Raw genomic sequence first — 14,994 nt, 5'->3', positions numbered from 1 at the left:
AAGATCTTAAATGCCATTGAAGTGAATATCTTAAATGGGTGAATTGTATAATAAGTAAATTATCCCTCAATAAAGTTGTTAGAATTGTTGTTACTACACATGATCAAAGAGTATGTCTGTGACAGCTAACGTGGCATTTTTAACATTTTCAAGTAACTCTTGCTTAATCTGTATGATATAGAGATCTTTCTTACTTAGCAAGTAGTTGTGCCAAGCATCAACGAGACTCTTTTGGGGAATTTTCTTCCATGGGATATTCTGCTTAAATAAATAGTCAGCACATGGCAGAATTAACAATAAGGACTTAACACTGCATTCATACATCTGGGTTTTACCAAATTGGGAAAAACTTGCAATTGTTGCTCTAAGTGAGATTCATCATAATTCTGGTTTCTCTATGGTTTTCAACAGAGAAAACCAGCTGTCACAGAAACTGCCTTCTTTGTGAGGTGGAGGAAACCTGGATGGAAACACCAGTCCTGCCAACATTTGAGTTCCCAGTGGATTTAGCCTTGGAAACCAAGATGCTTCAGGGAACGATGTATGACCTCATCTCTCTGACAGCTTTGAAAACAGTTTCTCCTTATGTATATTTAATCACCTTAAAACAGTGGTTCTCAAAGTATGTTTGCAAAATCCGCAGCATTAGCATCACGTGGTAACTTGTTAGAAATGCAGGTTCTTGGTCTTTAGCCCAGACCTACTGAATCAGAAACTGGGGGATGGGCCCCAGGAGTCTGTTTTAACAAGACCCCCAAATGATTCTGATGTACACCAAAATTTGAGAACACTGGTGTAGAGAACTTGTCTTAGCTTTGTTCTGTGGTGATGAATTATTCTCTATCAAGCAAGCTTTATTCATCTCTGAATTACGGTAGTTTTTTTCTCTTTCTAGTTCAAATTCCTAATAACCTTTTCCTGAGAAGTTGATACTATTGATGCCAAAGAAAGAATTATTGGGATGACAAGCATTCTATTTCCTGTTGCAGTTCTAATGAGCCTATACCATGGGGCTTACTAAGAGTTTTTGAAATGAAATTTTATCTTTAGGTCTAAACACACTATTTATGAAGAAGGCTTGGTTTTTGTGTAAAACTAGAGTTTCCCACAGAAGCCACTTTGTTGGACTATCCTCCTTCTCCCAATAGAGCAGTTGATTCCACCATATAGAGGCACTGGTCACCCAATAAGCTCCGCTTGTGAACAGACCTGGAAACAACAGTTTGGTTATCCTGAACTCTCTCATCACAGAGGTCTTGTTTCTAGTCTTGTCTTAGTTATAAGGCTTCTTCACATACTCTTTTTCTCTAGTCAGGGAATCCAGATCTTCAGTTTTGAAATGGAATTTGGATTCTTCACTCTTGAGCCCCAATTTCTTCAGCAAGTTGTTCTTTGGCATCAATAGCAGGGTAAGGATTGTTCCTAAATGCTTTGATGAGGACTCTAATTGGTAGGAGGTGTAGCTGGGACAACACTGTCATACTTGAATCTTTTCTTCAGGTGATACTGTCCTTGGTCTTGGCTGATCCAGGTTCCTGTGTTCTCTGGAATGGGTGTCTAGCTCTTAATTTCTGAAACCTAATCTGGGTTCTGATTAGTATTGATTTGTGAATATATGCTACCAACTGTTTGGTATCATAACCTGGGTAAGGTTTTTGGTTGAAGGCATTGATAAGAATTTTCAATGAAACCTCTGTGAATTTGGTATGACAGTGTCTACTGTTTGTAGCTTTGGTCACATGTGGACAGCTATGTTATACATGTTGCAAGAGAGTTTAGGTGTTCAAGGATGTGACTAAGAGTCAAAATATTTTTTTACTATGGAAAATTTCAAGTAAATATAAAATGAGAGAATAGTGAACTTGATGCTTCACCCACCTTCAACATTTTTTAGTACAAGGCCAATCTTATTTCATTAACACACCCACCCACTCCCTCAGCCTCTAGGATTATTTTAAAGTAAATCTAAGGCGTCATATGATCTTATCCTTTAGTAATTCAATATGTTTCTACAAGACAAAGTCTCTTTAAAAAAGTATAACCACATAGGCCAGGCATGGTGGCTCACACTTGTAATCCCAGCACTTTGGGAGGCCAAGATGGGAGGAACCCCTGAGCTCAGGAGTTCAAGACCAGCCTGGGTAACATGGCAAAACCCCATTTCTACAAAAAGAATACAAAAATTAGCTGGGCGTGGTGGTACATGTCTGTGGTCCCAGCTACTTGGGAGGCTGAAGTGGGAGGATCCTTTGAGCAGAGGTTGCAGTGAGTGGAGATCATGCCACTGCACTCCCACCCAGGCAACAGAGAGAGACTCCATCTCCAAAAAAAAAAAAAAAAAACCAAACCAAACAAACAAAAAAACCATAATCACAGTACCACAATTACATCTAAAAAATTAACAATAATTCCTTAATATTATCAAATATGTAGTGTTCACATTTCCCTGAATAAATTATAAATGTATGTGAGCGTATGTTTAAATAATGGTATGTTATTGTGTATATTTAATAGTATGTAATTATGTATATTTAGTATGTTAAGTTAGGATCTAAATAAAGCTTATACATAGAGATTATTTTGTCTCCTAAGTCTCTTCTAATCTATAAACTTCATCATCTCCTATTTACCTTTGAAAAGCAAACAAACAAAACGTGTTGTTAAAGAAATCAGATTGTATGACTTGCAAAAATTTTCATAGTCTATAATTTTCTAGCTTCAATGTCTTTATTTGGAAAATTCCTTTTTTTGACTCATGGCATCTAGTCATCCTCTCATGTTTTCACCATCCAACCTGGTAGCTATTGTCCATATTCACTGGAGACTTTCCACCTGGATCACAGCCAGCCTTCTTTTCTATTACATGTCTGTTCCATTGAACAAAGTGTTACTGATTTATCTACTGCATCCCAGGCACCATCTGAGGTGACACAACCCAGGTTCAGGGTTCATGTGGACATCCAACAGCCTAACCTTGCAGTTCCTTGGCTTCTAACTTCAGTGCACATCCTATCTCTTTCACAGTCACCCATACCCATGGTCAACCTCAGAACATTGTCATCACTTGGAACTGCTCCCCATTAGAAATTTTAAGCTCAATTTTGATTATAACCTCTCCCATCTTTCCAGCTGTGCCACATCCCTAGTCTAACTACATCATTTCTCAAAGAAATTTCCACCTACTTGTTCCTTTTCTCCCAGTCTATAAGCCCTTTCTATATCTCTTCTTTTTCCTATAACTACTCTTACCAACACTCTCAATGGTCTTGCATTCTCTATTCTTTTATTATAATCATCTGTATTTAAGGTCAACCACATAACTTATTTTCTGTCTTCCTACAGAATGACAGAGTTTGAATGTTTGTCCCCTCCAAATCTCATGTTGAAATATGATTCCCAATACTGGAGGTGGGGCCTAGTGGGCGGTGTTTGGGTCATGGAGGTGGATCCCTCATGAATGGCTTGGTGCTCTCCCCACAGAAATGAGTGAGTTCTCACTCTATTAGTTCATATAAGAGCTAGTTGTTTAAAAGAGTCTGGTGCCTCTCTCCCCTCTTTCTTGCTCTCTCTCACACCGTGTGACATGTTTGCTCCCCCTTTGCCTTTCACCATATGTAAAAGATTCCTGAGGCCTCACCAGAAGCCAAGAAGATGTTGCTGCCATACTTGTACAGCTTGCAGAACTGTGAGCCCAATGGACTTCTTTTCTTTATAAATTATCCAGCCTCAGGTATTTCTAAATAGCAATGCAAAATGGACCAATACAGAAAGTTGGTACTGAGGAATGGGGCATTGCTACAAAGATACCAGAAAATGTGTAAGCAGCTTTGAACTGAGTAATGAGAAGATACTGGAAGAGTTTGGAGGGCTCAGAAGACAGGAAGATGAGGGAAAGTTTGGGACTTCCTAGAGACTGTCTAAGTTGTGACCAAATGCTGACAGAAATATGAACAGTGAAAGCCAGGCTGATAAAGTCTCAGATGGAAATAAGGAACTTACTGGGAACTGGAACAAAGGTCACCCTTGTTATGCCTTAGCAAAGGACTTGGCTGTATTGTGTCCATGCACTAGGGGTTTGTGGAAGGTTGAATTTAAGAGTGATGACCTAGGTTATCTGGTGGAAGAAATTTCAAATTTTTCATAATCTAATTTTTTCACCACAAAGTGGTCAATAAGTGCCATAGCTCCTTCTAACAGCCTACAATCAGATATGGAAGGAAAGAAATGACTTAAAGTTGCGACTTATAATTAAAAGGGAAACTGAGGGTAAAAATTTGGAAAATTTGTAGCGTGCTTATGTGGTAGGGAAGGAAAGAGCATTTTCAGGAAAGGATTCTAAGAGGCCTGCAGAACAACCACTTGCTAGAGAGATTAGCATGACTAAATGGGAGCCAGGTGCTACCATTCAAGGCAGGGGGAAAAAAGACTTCAAAGGCATTTCAGAAATCTTCCAGGTAGTCCCTTCCATTGCAGGTCCAGAGCCCTGGGAGGCAAGAATAGTTTCAGTAGACAAGCCTTGGGCGTCGCTGTCCTGAGCCACCTATGGAAGCTGCTCCCCAAATCCCAATATCTCCAACTCTACCCTTGGCTCAGAGGGCTCCAGGTACAGCTTGGGCTGCTATTCTGGAGGGCAAAATCCATAAGCCTTGGTGGCTTCCATGTGATGTTAAGCCTGCAGTTGGGCAGAATGCAAGAGTGAAGGAGGCTTGGCAGCATCCACCTAGATTTTATATTGGAAAAATGTATTGGATGTATTGGAAAGCCTGGGTGTCCAGGAAGAAGCCTGCTGTAGGGGTGGGATCCCCATAGAGAGACCCTACTAGAGTAGTGTCAACGGAAAATGTGGGGTTAGAGCCCCCACACAGAGTCCCCACCAGGGTGCTGCCTAGTGGAGCTGTGAGAATGGTAGAGATATTGGCAGTGCGCACCCTCAGTCTGGGAAAGCCATAAGCATTCAACTACAACCCAGCAGGGCAGTCAACATGGACAGCTCCCCAAAAGGCCATGGGGACAGGGCTTACTAAGGCCTTGGGAGCCCACACTTTGCACCGGTATGCTCAGGATGCAGGACATGGTGTCAAGGATTATTCTGGAGCTTTAAGATTTAGTGTCTTCCCTACTGGGTTTCAGACTTGCATGGAGCCTGTTGCCCTTTCCTTTTGGCTGATTTCTCCCTTTTGGAATAGGAATGTTTACCCAATGCCCAAACCATCATTGTGTCTTGGAAGTAAATAACTTGTTTTTGATCTCATGGGTTCGTAGGTGGAAGGAACTTGCCTTGGGTCTTAGATGAGACTTTGGACTTTGAAACTTTGAGTTAGCACTGGGATGAGTTAAGACTTTTGAGGACTGTTGGGAATGCATGATTGTATTTTGTAATATGAGAAGGACATGAGATTTTGGGGGCCAGGAGTGGAATAATATAGTTTGGATGTTTGTCCCCTCCAAATCTCATGTCGAAATGTGATCCCCAATATTGAAAGTAGGGATTAGTGGGAGGTGTTTGAGTCATGGAGATGGATCCCTCATAAATTGCTTGGTGCCCTCTCCATAGAAATGAGTGAATTCTTGCTCTAGTAGCTCACATAAGAGATAGACGTTTAAAACAGTCTGGTGTCTCCCTCCCCTCTTTCTTGCTTCCTCTCTCACCATGTGATGTGCCTGCTCCCCCTTTGCCTTTCACCATATGTAAAAGCTTCCTGAAGCCTCACCAGAAGCCAAGAAAATGCTGGTGTCATGCTTGTACAGCCGCAGAACTGTGAGCCAAATAAACCTCCTTTCTTTATAAATTACCCAGCCTCAGGCATTCCTTTATAGCAATGCAAAGCAGACTAACATACACAGATAGCAGAAAATCCTACAACATAGCATCAACACCTCCCAAATATGCTTTCATCTTTTCCAGTTAGTTTTTTCTCCCTTTTCCCAAAGGAACAATCTCCATTTTTCTCTAATGCTTCCTGAAACTCACCAATCAAATCCTTAGCAGATAATATTATACCCTTATTAACAATAAAATTAGGAATTATATCTAAATGCATAGAAACTGGAACTGCCATGAATGCTTCATTCATTCTGTTGATAACTTGTGCTGTGTTGAAACTTGCACCTCCTTGGCTTCCATGACACTTTTTTTTTCTCCTAGAGCTTTTCCTGACCCTCTGCTATTTCTTCTCATGGGCTCCTTATCCTTTCTCTCTGCCTTTTAAAAGTTGGTGGCAATCAGAGCTTCACTTTTTGCCCATCTTTCCTCTTATTCTATTATGTCTTATTCCTCTACGATCCTAACAACTCCCATAGTTTTACTTTCCAAATGAATGCTGATTCCCAAATCTCTATTTCTAATTCATATATCTCTCTACAGTTTCCTACTTCCATATGAGCTGACTTTCAGACTGCTAACCACTCTGATAGCTGTAGAATCAATAGCATCTCTCTCTCACACATTACTCCTTTCTCATTTGCTTAGTTGTTGGCACAACTATCCCCTTTGGCATGCAAACAGAAACTGGGGGCCATATCAGTTGCCTCATCTCCATGCCCCCCTTCATCTCTCTAATCTACTACCTCTGTCTTAATTCAGACTGTCATAACTTCTTTCATCTTCAAACAGGTCCTGGTAACTATGGCTTTGTACCCTTCAAATGTCTCCTCTCCATTGTTGTCAAGATCTGAAAGGCCCATTACTTCCCTTCTAAAGCTTCCCAACAGACTCCATCCCTCCAGCAGAGAGCACGGTACTCTAATGGCACACACCAGGGAAAGGATAACCATGGCCCTGGCTGGCTCTCTTTCATAATTCTCTACATAAAACATTATGTTCTAGTAATAACACAGAACCATGTTTCTTTTTTTTTTTTTTTTTTTGAGACAGTGTCTCGCTCTGTTGCCCAGGCTGGAGTGCAGTGGCGCGATCTCGGCTCACTGCAAGCTCTGCCTCCTGGGTTCATGCCATTCTCCTGCCTTAGCCTCCCATGTAGCTGGGACTACAGGCGCCTGCCACCATGCCCGGATAATTATTTTGTATTTTTAGTAGAGACGCGGTTTCACCGTGTTAGCCACGATGGTCGCGATCTCCTGACCCCGTGATCCACCTGCCTCGGTCTCCCAAAGTGCTGGGATTACAGGCGTGAGCCACGGCGCTCGGCCCATGTTTCATTTTTTTGAGTCATCTCCCAAACTTGGCCATTGTTACTCTCAAATAAATTTATAAATCATAACTGGCTAGTGAGCTTTAGTAGAAATAATTGTAACACAGTCCTTTAATTAAAAAAATGCCCTACCTTTTCTTCTTTACAACATTTAATAAGAATTAGCTTATGGAAAGAACTCAATCCTGCACTCCATGGATCTTGGTGTGCTGCCTCCTTTTCCTGTCTCATGTGTTTATCTTCGTGTTTCATTTTAGAATAGCCTTCCCATTTCTGTGGGTTAATATAAGTCTCAAAAGATCCTGGAAATACAATTTAAAAAAGATAATTTAATTAGATTTGTTTTGGCTTTGAAATTAAATAATGTTTGGTAATTTAAAAATATCTCTATATTTACTATCAGTTTTAACCACAAGTATACTATAAATACATCAGTCTCCCCTGCTACCCAACCTAATCAAAAAGTAAAGAATTTAAAATGTAATCAGAAAATAGCAGCAAACCACTTACAAAAAACAAAAACAAAACAAAATATTAGGAAGGTTAAAAATAAAAGGATGCATAGAGATACTTAAGCAAATGTGAGCAAAAAGAAGATTGAAGTGATAAGGGTAATATTAACTAGAATTCAAAGCAAACATAATTAAATGGGACAAAGTAGGTTCTTATATTAATAAAAATAACAAATCCATAATAAAAACATAATAAAATGAACCCAGGTGAGCCAGAAAATAGCATAAAAATATGTCAAATAATAACTGTTAGAGGTAGAAGAAAAAGCAAGAAAAAAATAAAATCAGTCTATGATAAATGAAGTAAACTGAAAATTCTAGCATATGTAATTCAAACACTATAAATAATAGCTGAATACGTTGACATATTTACATTATGCCCTAATAAACGATACATCATCCCCTGCTCCCTGGCTATAGAATATTTATAAGAAATGGATTTGTATCTTGTATGAAAGTTAGGATCACAGTTAGTTCTTACAATGGTTATAACATGTACTAAGAATTCGCACTGACATTTCTGTAGGTACAGAATGCATATGGTATAAGCCTTTCAGAAAGCCAAAATAACTAGTGTGTTCTCCAGTAAGGAAACAGGTTTCTTGGGTTGGCCGTTAGGCACAATTGTTGGCTTGCATTTCAGGCTAGAAAGCAACTTTCTCTAGCTTGTCTGCAGGGGCTCTCCTCTGGGGGCTTAATCATAGCAATCAGAAAGCTAGTGACACAAAAATTTAGTGACACTTCTGACCATGGCCTTGGGGTAGTGTTCATCTTTGCAAGATTTATAATTTATATATGGAATATAGACAATTACAAGGTATGAGACGACAAAGCATACCATGTCACAATACTCTTTAGTTAAAGGTGTCTGCATTATTCTGAAGACCAGGTAGCAGAACCATGTATTGCAAAAGGACTCCTTTTCCAGTGAGGTTCTCATTATTTATTGTGTAATCATTAGGACTCCAGGAAATGATGGGAGAAAATAATGTATAAAATATGCATTAGAAGATGGTATCTAATAATGCATTATTTATTTATTCATTTGGAGACAGATTCTTGCTCTGTTGCCCAGGCAAGAGTGCAGTGGCGTGTTCTCGGCTCACTGCAACCTTTGCCTCCCAGGTTCAAGCAATTCTCCAGCCTCAGCCTCCTGAATAGCTGGGACTACAGGTGCACACCACCACACCAGGCTAATTTTTTGTATTTTAGTAGAGATGGGATTTCACCATGTTGGCCAGGCTGGTCTCCAACTCCTGAGCTCAGGCAATCCACTCGCCTCAGCCTCCAAAAGTGCTAGGATTACAGGCATGAGCCACCACACCTAGCTTAATAATGTATATTTTAAATAACTCCCAATAGGACACGAAGCACTTAGAAATCAAGAAAGACAAAAGATTAAGGCAATTAGGAAGTTTCTGAAGGTAAGATTGACAATGGAATTAGACATCACTTGTAAATATCTAAAGCTCACTTTTAGAATACCAGCCACCTATCAAACTATGTACAAACCTTCATAAGTCTGTAGCATTTCTGGAACAAACCTTGAAATCTAACACATAAAAACAGGAAAGTTTTTTTAAATTGTTGCAATTTTAGTCTCAAAGATATGGATAACACATGGTGCTTTCTATGAAAAAATTATGAGTTGTCCCTATAATTACTTTGCTTTTCAACCTCCACACCTTCCCTCTTCCTTTGCCTCTGTGTAGATGAGGCTCCATCTAGCCCTTTCTGCTTTGGGTCTGTCCCTAACTGTCCATCTCTGGGTTTCTTCTATGAGTATTTTTCTTTTTGTGTTCTATCTCTACCTCTAGCTGTCTCATTTAACTGGTGCATAACATAGAAACAATTTTTACTAGTGGGGGACAAAAGACTAGGGGGGAATGCACTTTTCAATAAGTTAATGCATTTATTGAACAGCTTTTTCTCCCCCTAGTCTTCATTTAGAAATCCAATAAATCTATTAGGATCTTAGAAATTCTGGTTAATGTAGACTTTAAACCACCACACTTAATGGGTTTACTTAGTTAAATAAATATTCATATTAGAAGTATAAGAGTAATTACCAAAAAATAAAAATAGAATTTCAAATCAGTAGAGGGGAAAATAAAGAGTGTGGATGATGCAACTGAAGAAGAAAGGAAGGAGAGGAGAAATAAAGGATATAAAGAAAGGAAGAAGGAAGAAGAAAGAAGAAAAAAGGAAGCAAAGAAAAAGCTGGCAGAAAAATATGCCCAAAATAAAGATGACCAATGTAAGTCCAAACAGATCAGAGTTTCTTAACTTTACTAATATTGACATTTTGGATGCTGTAGTTATTTGTTGTGGAGGGTTGTTCTGAGCACTGTAGGATGTGTAGTAGCATCTCTGGTCTCTACCCACCAGACGCCAGTAGCACCACCCCAGTTGTGGCAAACAAAAATGTCTCTAGACATTGTCAAATGGAAATCTTCCTCAGTCAAGAAGAACTTAAATAAATCAATAGCCATAATAAATATAATCAAATTAAAATTTGTCTGTTAAAAGAAAGACTTTCATGTTCCTCAAAACAACAACAAAATCCTACTAAGATACACCAAAAACATAATGATGACACACAAAAAATGGAAAGTAAAGAGTGCAGAAATATATAGAGTGGGAGTACTAAGAGAGGCTTGCTGTAATAATATTAATATTAGAAGATGTATTTTGAGGTTTTAGGTCAGGATGGCTGACTAGATGCAGGTATTGCGTGCTGCCTCCATGGAGAAGAGCCAGAATAGTAAGCAGATACTCACAGTTCAAACAGGTAATCTAGGAGAGAATGCTTGGATTCATTAGAGAAGAGACATGAAGTACCAGAAGTAAGTAAGGAGAGGGTTCAAGTTAGCTTGCGCAGCCAGGAACTGACTGGGCTGGGAGATGGTCCTGGATGCAGGGAAACAGTAAGAGGGAAATCCCTGGAGCTCCAAAACAGGGTTTTAAGATCTTGGCTACAGGAGAAACCCTTGACCCACTAGGGCCTTGTGCCTGACATATGGAACTGCCTAAAGATTGTACAGAGACATTTCTCTAGAAAGGGAACCCACACACAATCCCACAGGAATCCGAGCCTGGTGCAGCCTCAGCTGGGTGCCATTTTGAGAACCCAGATCCTGGGGATTTACAGACACAGCTGCAGCCACTGTGCTGCTCCAGGGAGGGAGAGGGGAGAACGGGCACACTCATGCACCCCCTAGAGGGTACTTGCTGCCCTGCTATGAGCTGCTGTTGAGACTGAGATATGAGTTGACCACACTTCTCACAGCTTCCTGCTTATGCTGCTTGCCTGAATGGTGCCCCACCCTCTTTAGCCCCAGGCCCAAGGTGCCCTTTTGAGAGTTTAATGCTGGGCTGAGCTCCATGCTTTGTTTAGTTTGGGCTGATGTGGCTGTAGCCTCTGCTTGGCTAAGGAAGAACAGGGAGACCAGGTCATCCTACTCATACCTAGGACAATACTCACAGCTCTGTAGCAGGCTGCTGTGAGACAGATGTGAATGAACCACACTCCCCACAGCTTCTTGATCATGCTGCCTGCCTGGGCAGTGATCCGCCCTCCCTGTTTTCAGGCCCAAGGCACCATTTTGAGAATGTAGTGCTGAGCTGTGCCTCATCCTTGGCCTGAGTTTGGGCTGATGTGACTGCTGCTGCCACCCAGCCAAGCAGGGAAAGGGGACCAAGGCTCTCCTATATATACCTAGGACAATGTCCAATGCCTTGCTACGAGCTGCTATGAGACTGAGACTTGAGTGGACCACACTCCTCACAGCTTCTCGTCCATGCTGCTCGCCTGAGAGGGGCTCCCCACTCTCTAGGTGCAAGCCCATGGCTGACACCATTTTGAGAGGTTAGAGCCATTGTTTGGTAACCTGGCAGCGGTGGCCACAGCAAGCATTTTGGTCTTAGGTGAGATTAAAGTGCTTGTTCTGGAAGGGGAGAAGGGTCCCCACAGGCAGAATTGAGCAGTGAGTGTGGAGAGTGCCCCAGTAGTAGGTGGTGGAATTACGCTCTCTCCCATCACAAGACTGGAGTGGGAGGAGAGTTGCTGAAGCTGAGGTTTTTCCCAGAGGGCAAGACTTTCAGTCAGAGACAGCTTTGCAACCTAGAACTGGTCTGCATGGGTCATAACGGGGTGTCCCAGCCTGTTTCCTTGGTCAGTTGGGGAACAGTGCCCCACCAGCTCTGAGGCGTGGGAGGGAGGCAGACTCCACTCCCCTGGAGATCTAACCCTTGCTGCAGACTGTCCCTAAAGGAGGGGAGAGTGCAGCCCACCAAAGACCCCCTTGGATAAAAGAAAACATGGGTGCAGTGCCAGCCACTGAAGGTGGTACCACCAAAGCCTGGGAATGGACATGGAGAGGGGGTCACACTTGCTCCGCCACCCTTCTTCTCAGTGCCCTGTCATGGATTTGGAAGTGACTCTTCACTTTGGAGTCTGGGGAATGCGGGTTGAAAGAGTCTGTGTCTCAAGCTTCTCCAGCAGCTCTGCCCTACTGAGGGTGAATGTGCTCTGCAGAGGTGCTTTTTGTACTTCTCTAGTGCTTCCACCCCTGCTTGTACCCATCAGTTCTTACTCTTAAGCACCATCTACTAGACTGCATCCTGAATTACGCCACCAAATAAAATTACATTGCTACAACAAACAACCTCTGAGAAAGTCACTGCATGAACCTACTTGCAACCAAGGAACCTGTACAGAGAGTTGGCACTCTGAAAGCACCTAGAAATGAAGCCAATTAATCATACACAATATACATCACAGTCATACCCCCAAGGGAAAAACGAATAAACAAGAAGCCCCAACCAAGTGATACCAAATTAAAAAAAAAAAAAAGAGAAGTATCAGCTCTCTCAGATGAGGAGTAACCAGTGCAGAACCCCAGCAATACAAAAAGACAGAGTGTTTCATCACCTCCAAAGGATCCCACTAGCTCCCAAGCAATGGATCCTAACCAGAATGAAATGTCTGAAATGACAGATATAGAATTCAGAATATGATGCAAAGAAACTCAATGAGATCCAGGAGAAAGTTGAAATCCCACACAAAGAAGCCAGAAAAATGATCCAAGATATGAAAGACAACATAGCTATATTAAGAACAGAACAGAAGATATGAAAGACAACATAGCTATATTAAGAACAAAACCAACAGAAGTCCTGGAATTGAAAAATTCGCATCAGGAAATTCAAAATACAAATGGAAGCCTTAACAACAGACTAGACCAGGCAAAAGAAAGACTTTCAGAACTTGAAGACCAATCTGTCAAAATGACCCAGTCAGACAAAAGTAAAAAAGAATTTAAAAAATGAACAAAGCCTTTGAGAAATATGGGATTATGTAAAGTGACCAAACCTATGACTTACTGGCATTCATGAGAGAGAAGAAGAGAGAATAAGCAACTTGGAAAACATATTTGAGGATATAATTCAGGAAAATTTCCCCAATCTTGCTAGAGAGGTCGACATGCAAATACAAGAAATCCAGAGAACTTCTGTAAGATGCTACACAAGATGACAATTCCCAAGACACACTTGGGGATGGATAGGAGGGATAGGACTAACCCAAGTCCACGTGAAAGAGAACTTTAAAGGCACCTAGAGAAAAGGGTCATGTTGCTTATAAAGGGAAACCTATAAGACTAAAAACAGACTTTTCAGCACAAACCTTACAAGTCAGAAGAAACTGGGGCCTATTTTTAGTATTCTTAAAGATAATAAATGTCAGCCAAGAATTTCATATCCTTCCATGCTAAGCTTCATAAATGAAGGAGAAATAAAGTGTTTCCCAAACAAGTAATCACCAAGGGAATTTTCCACCACCAGACTGGCCCTACAATGCATGCTTAAGGGAGTTCTCAATGTGGAAACAAAAGAATAATGCTTGTTACCATGAAAGCACATGAAAGCACATAGCCCACAGTACCCATAAAGCAACTATACAATAAAGACTACAAAGCAACTAAGCTAACAACATTATGACAGCAACAAAACCTCATATATCAATTTTAACACTGAACATAAATGGCCTAAATGCTCAACTTAAAATACATAGAGTATCAAATTGAATGAAAAAACAAGACCCATTCTTCTTCTATCATCAAGAGACCCAATCTCACATGTTATGACACCTATAGGCTCAAAGTAAAGGGATGGAGAAAGATATGTCACGCAACGGAAAACAAAAAAAAGCAAGGGTTACTGTTCTTATATCAGAATTTAAACCAACAAAAATAAAAAAGGACAAAGAAGGGCATTAAATAATGATAAGGGGCTCAATTCAACAAAACATCTTAAGTGTCCTAGATATATGTGTATCCAACATTGGAGTACCCAGACTTATAAAACAAGCACATCTAGGCTTAATGAAAGACTTTGGCAGTACACAACAATAGTCACACAACACACAACACCCCATTGATAGCATTTGATAGATCACTGAGGCAGAAAATTGACCAATTCTGGACATAAATTCGACATGACCATTTGGACCTAATAGACATCTACAGAATACTCTCCCTAACAACCACAAGATACCCATTCTTCTTATCTGCATATGGAACATACTCTAAAATTGACCACATGCTTGGTCATAAAGCAAGTCTCAATAAACACAAAAATATCAATATCATACTGAGCATCTTCTGAGACAACAGTGAAATAAAAATAGAAATCAATACACAGAAGATCTCTCAAAACCATAAAATTACATGGAAACTAAACAAATTGCTCCTGAATGACTTTTGGGTAAACAATGAAATCAAGGCACAAGTAAAAAACTTTTTTGAAACAGATGAAAACAGACATGGAATGTATCAAAACCTCTGGGATGCAGCAAAGCAGTGTTAAAGGAGAGTTTATAGCACTGAAAAACTACATCGAGAAGTTAGAAATGACATCGAGAAGTTAGAAAGGTCTCAAATTAACAAACTAACCTTGTACCTAAAGGAAATAGAAAAATAAAACAAATGAAACTCCAAACTAGCAGAAGAAATAAAAGAACTATAATCAGGGCAGAAATGAACAAAATTGAGACCTCAAAAACCATACAAAGGATCAATGAAACAAAAAGTTGGTTTCTCGAAAGGATAAACAAGATTGATAGACCATAAGCTAGATTAACAAGGAAAAAAATACAGAAGATCCATAATCATAATCAGAAATAACAAAAGTGACATCACAAATGATCCCCCCGAAATATAAAGGATCCTCAGAGGGTATTATGATGAGCATCTCTATGCACACAAACTAGAAAAATCTAGAGAAATGGATCAATTCCTGGAAACACACAACCTCCCAAGATTGAACCCGAA

At 40.3% G+C, this 14,994-nt stretch overlaps 1 protein-coding gene and 1 pseudogene across 12 annotated transcripts in view, besides 1 other annotated feature; both read right to left on the bottom strand.

Moving 5' to 3' along the window:
* Positions 1-14,994, bottom strand: part of DNAH6 (dynein axonemal heavy chain 6) — a 360,018-nt gene that overhangs the window by 67,057 nt on the left and 277,967 nt on the right. For all 12 annotated transcript variants that reach the window (XM_011532650.4, XM_011532649.3, XM_006711956.3 and 9 more), the window contains one exon: positions 7,284-7,453. In XM_011532650.4, coding sequence (XP_011530952.1) covers positions 7,284-7,453 — 170 coding nt within the window. The remainder of the gene's footprint in view (positions 1-7,283; positions 7,454-14,994) is intronic.
* DUXAP1 (double homeobox A pseudogene 1) lies at positions 1,272-1,806 on the bottom strand (annotated as a pseudogene).
* Positions 10,971-11,020: an enhancer, noted in NCBI's record as "active region_16100". NCBI's record gives its function as "activates an Ori minimal core promoter by ATAC-STARR-seq in GM12878 lymphoblastoid cells {active_cell/tissue: GM12878}" and the evidence as "EXISTENCE:reporter gene assay evidence [ECO:0000049][PMID:35858748]".

The sequence above is a fragment of the Homo sapiens genome, chromosome 2 (genome assembly GCF_000001405.40).
Source record: "Homo sapiens chromosome 2, GRCh38.p14 Primary Assembly".
In the NCBI taxonomy this organism is placed as follows: Eukaryota; Metazoa; Chordata; class Mammalia; order Primates; family Hominidae; genus Homo; species Homo sapiens.
This window is presented reverse-complemented; position numbering and strand designations above follow the sequence as displayed.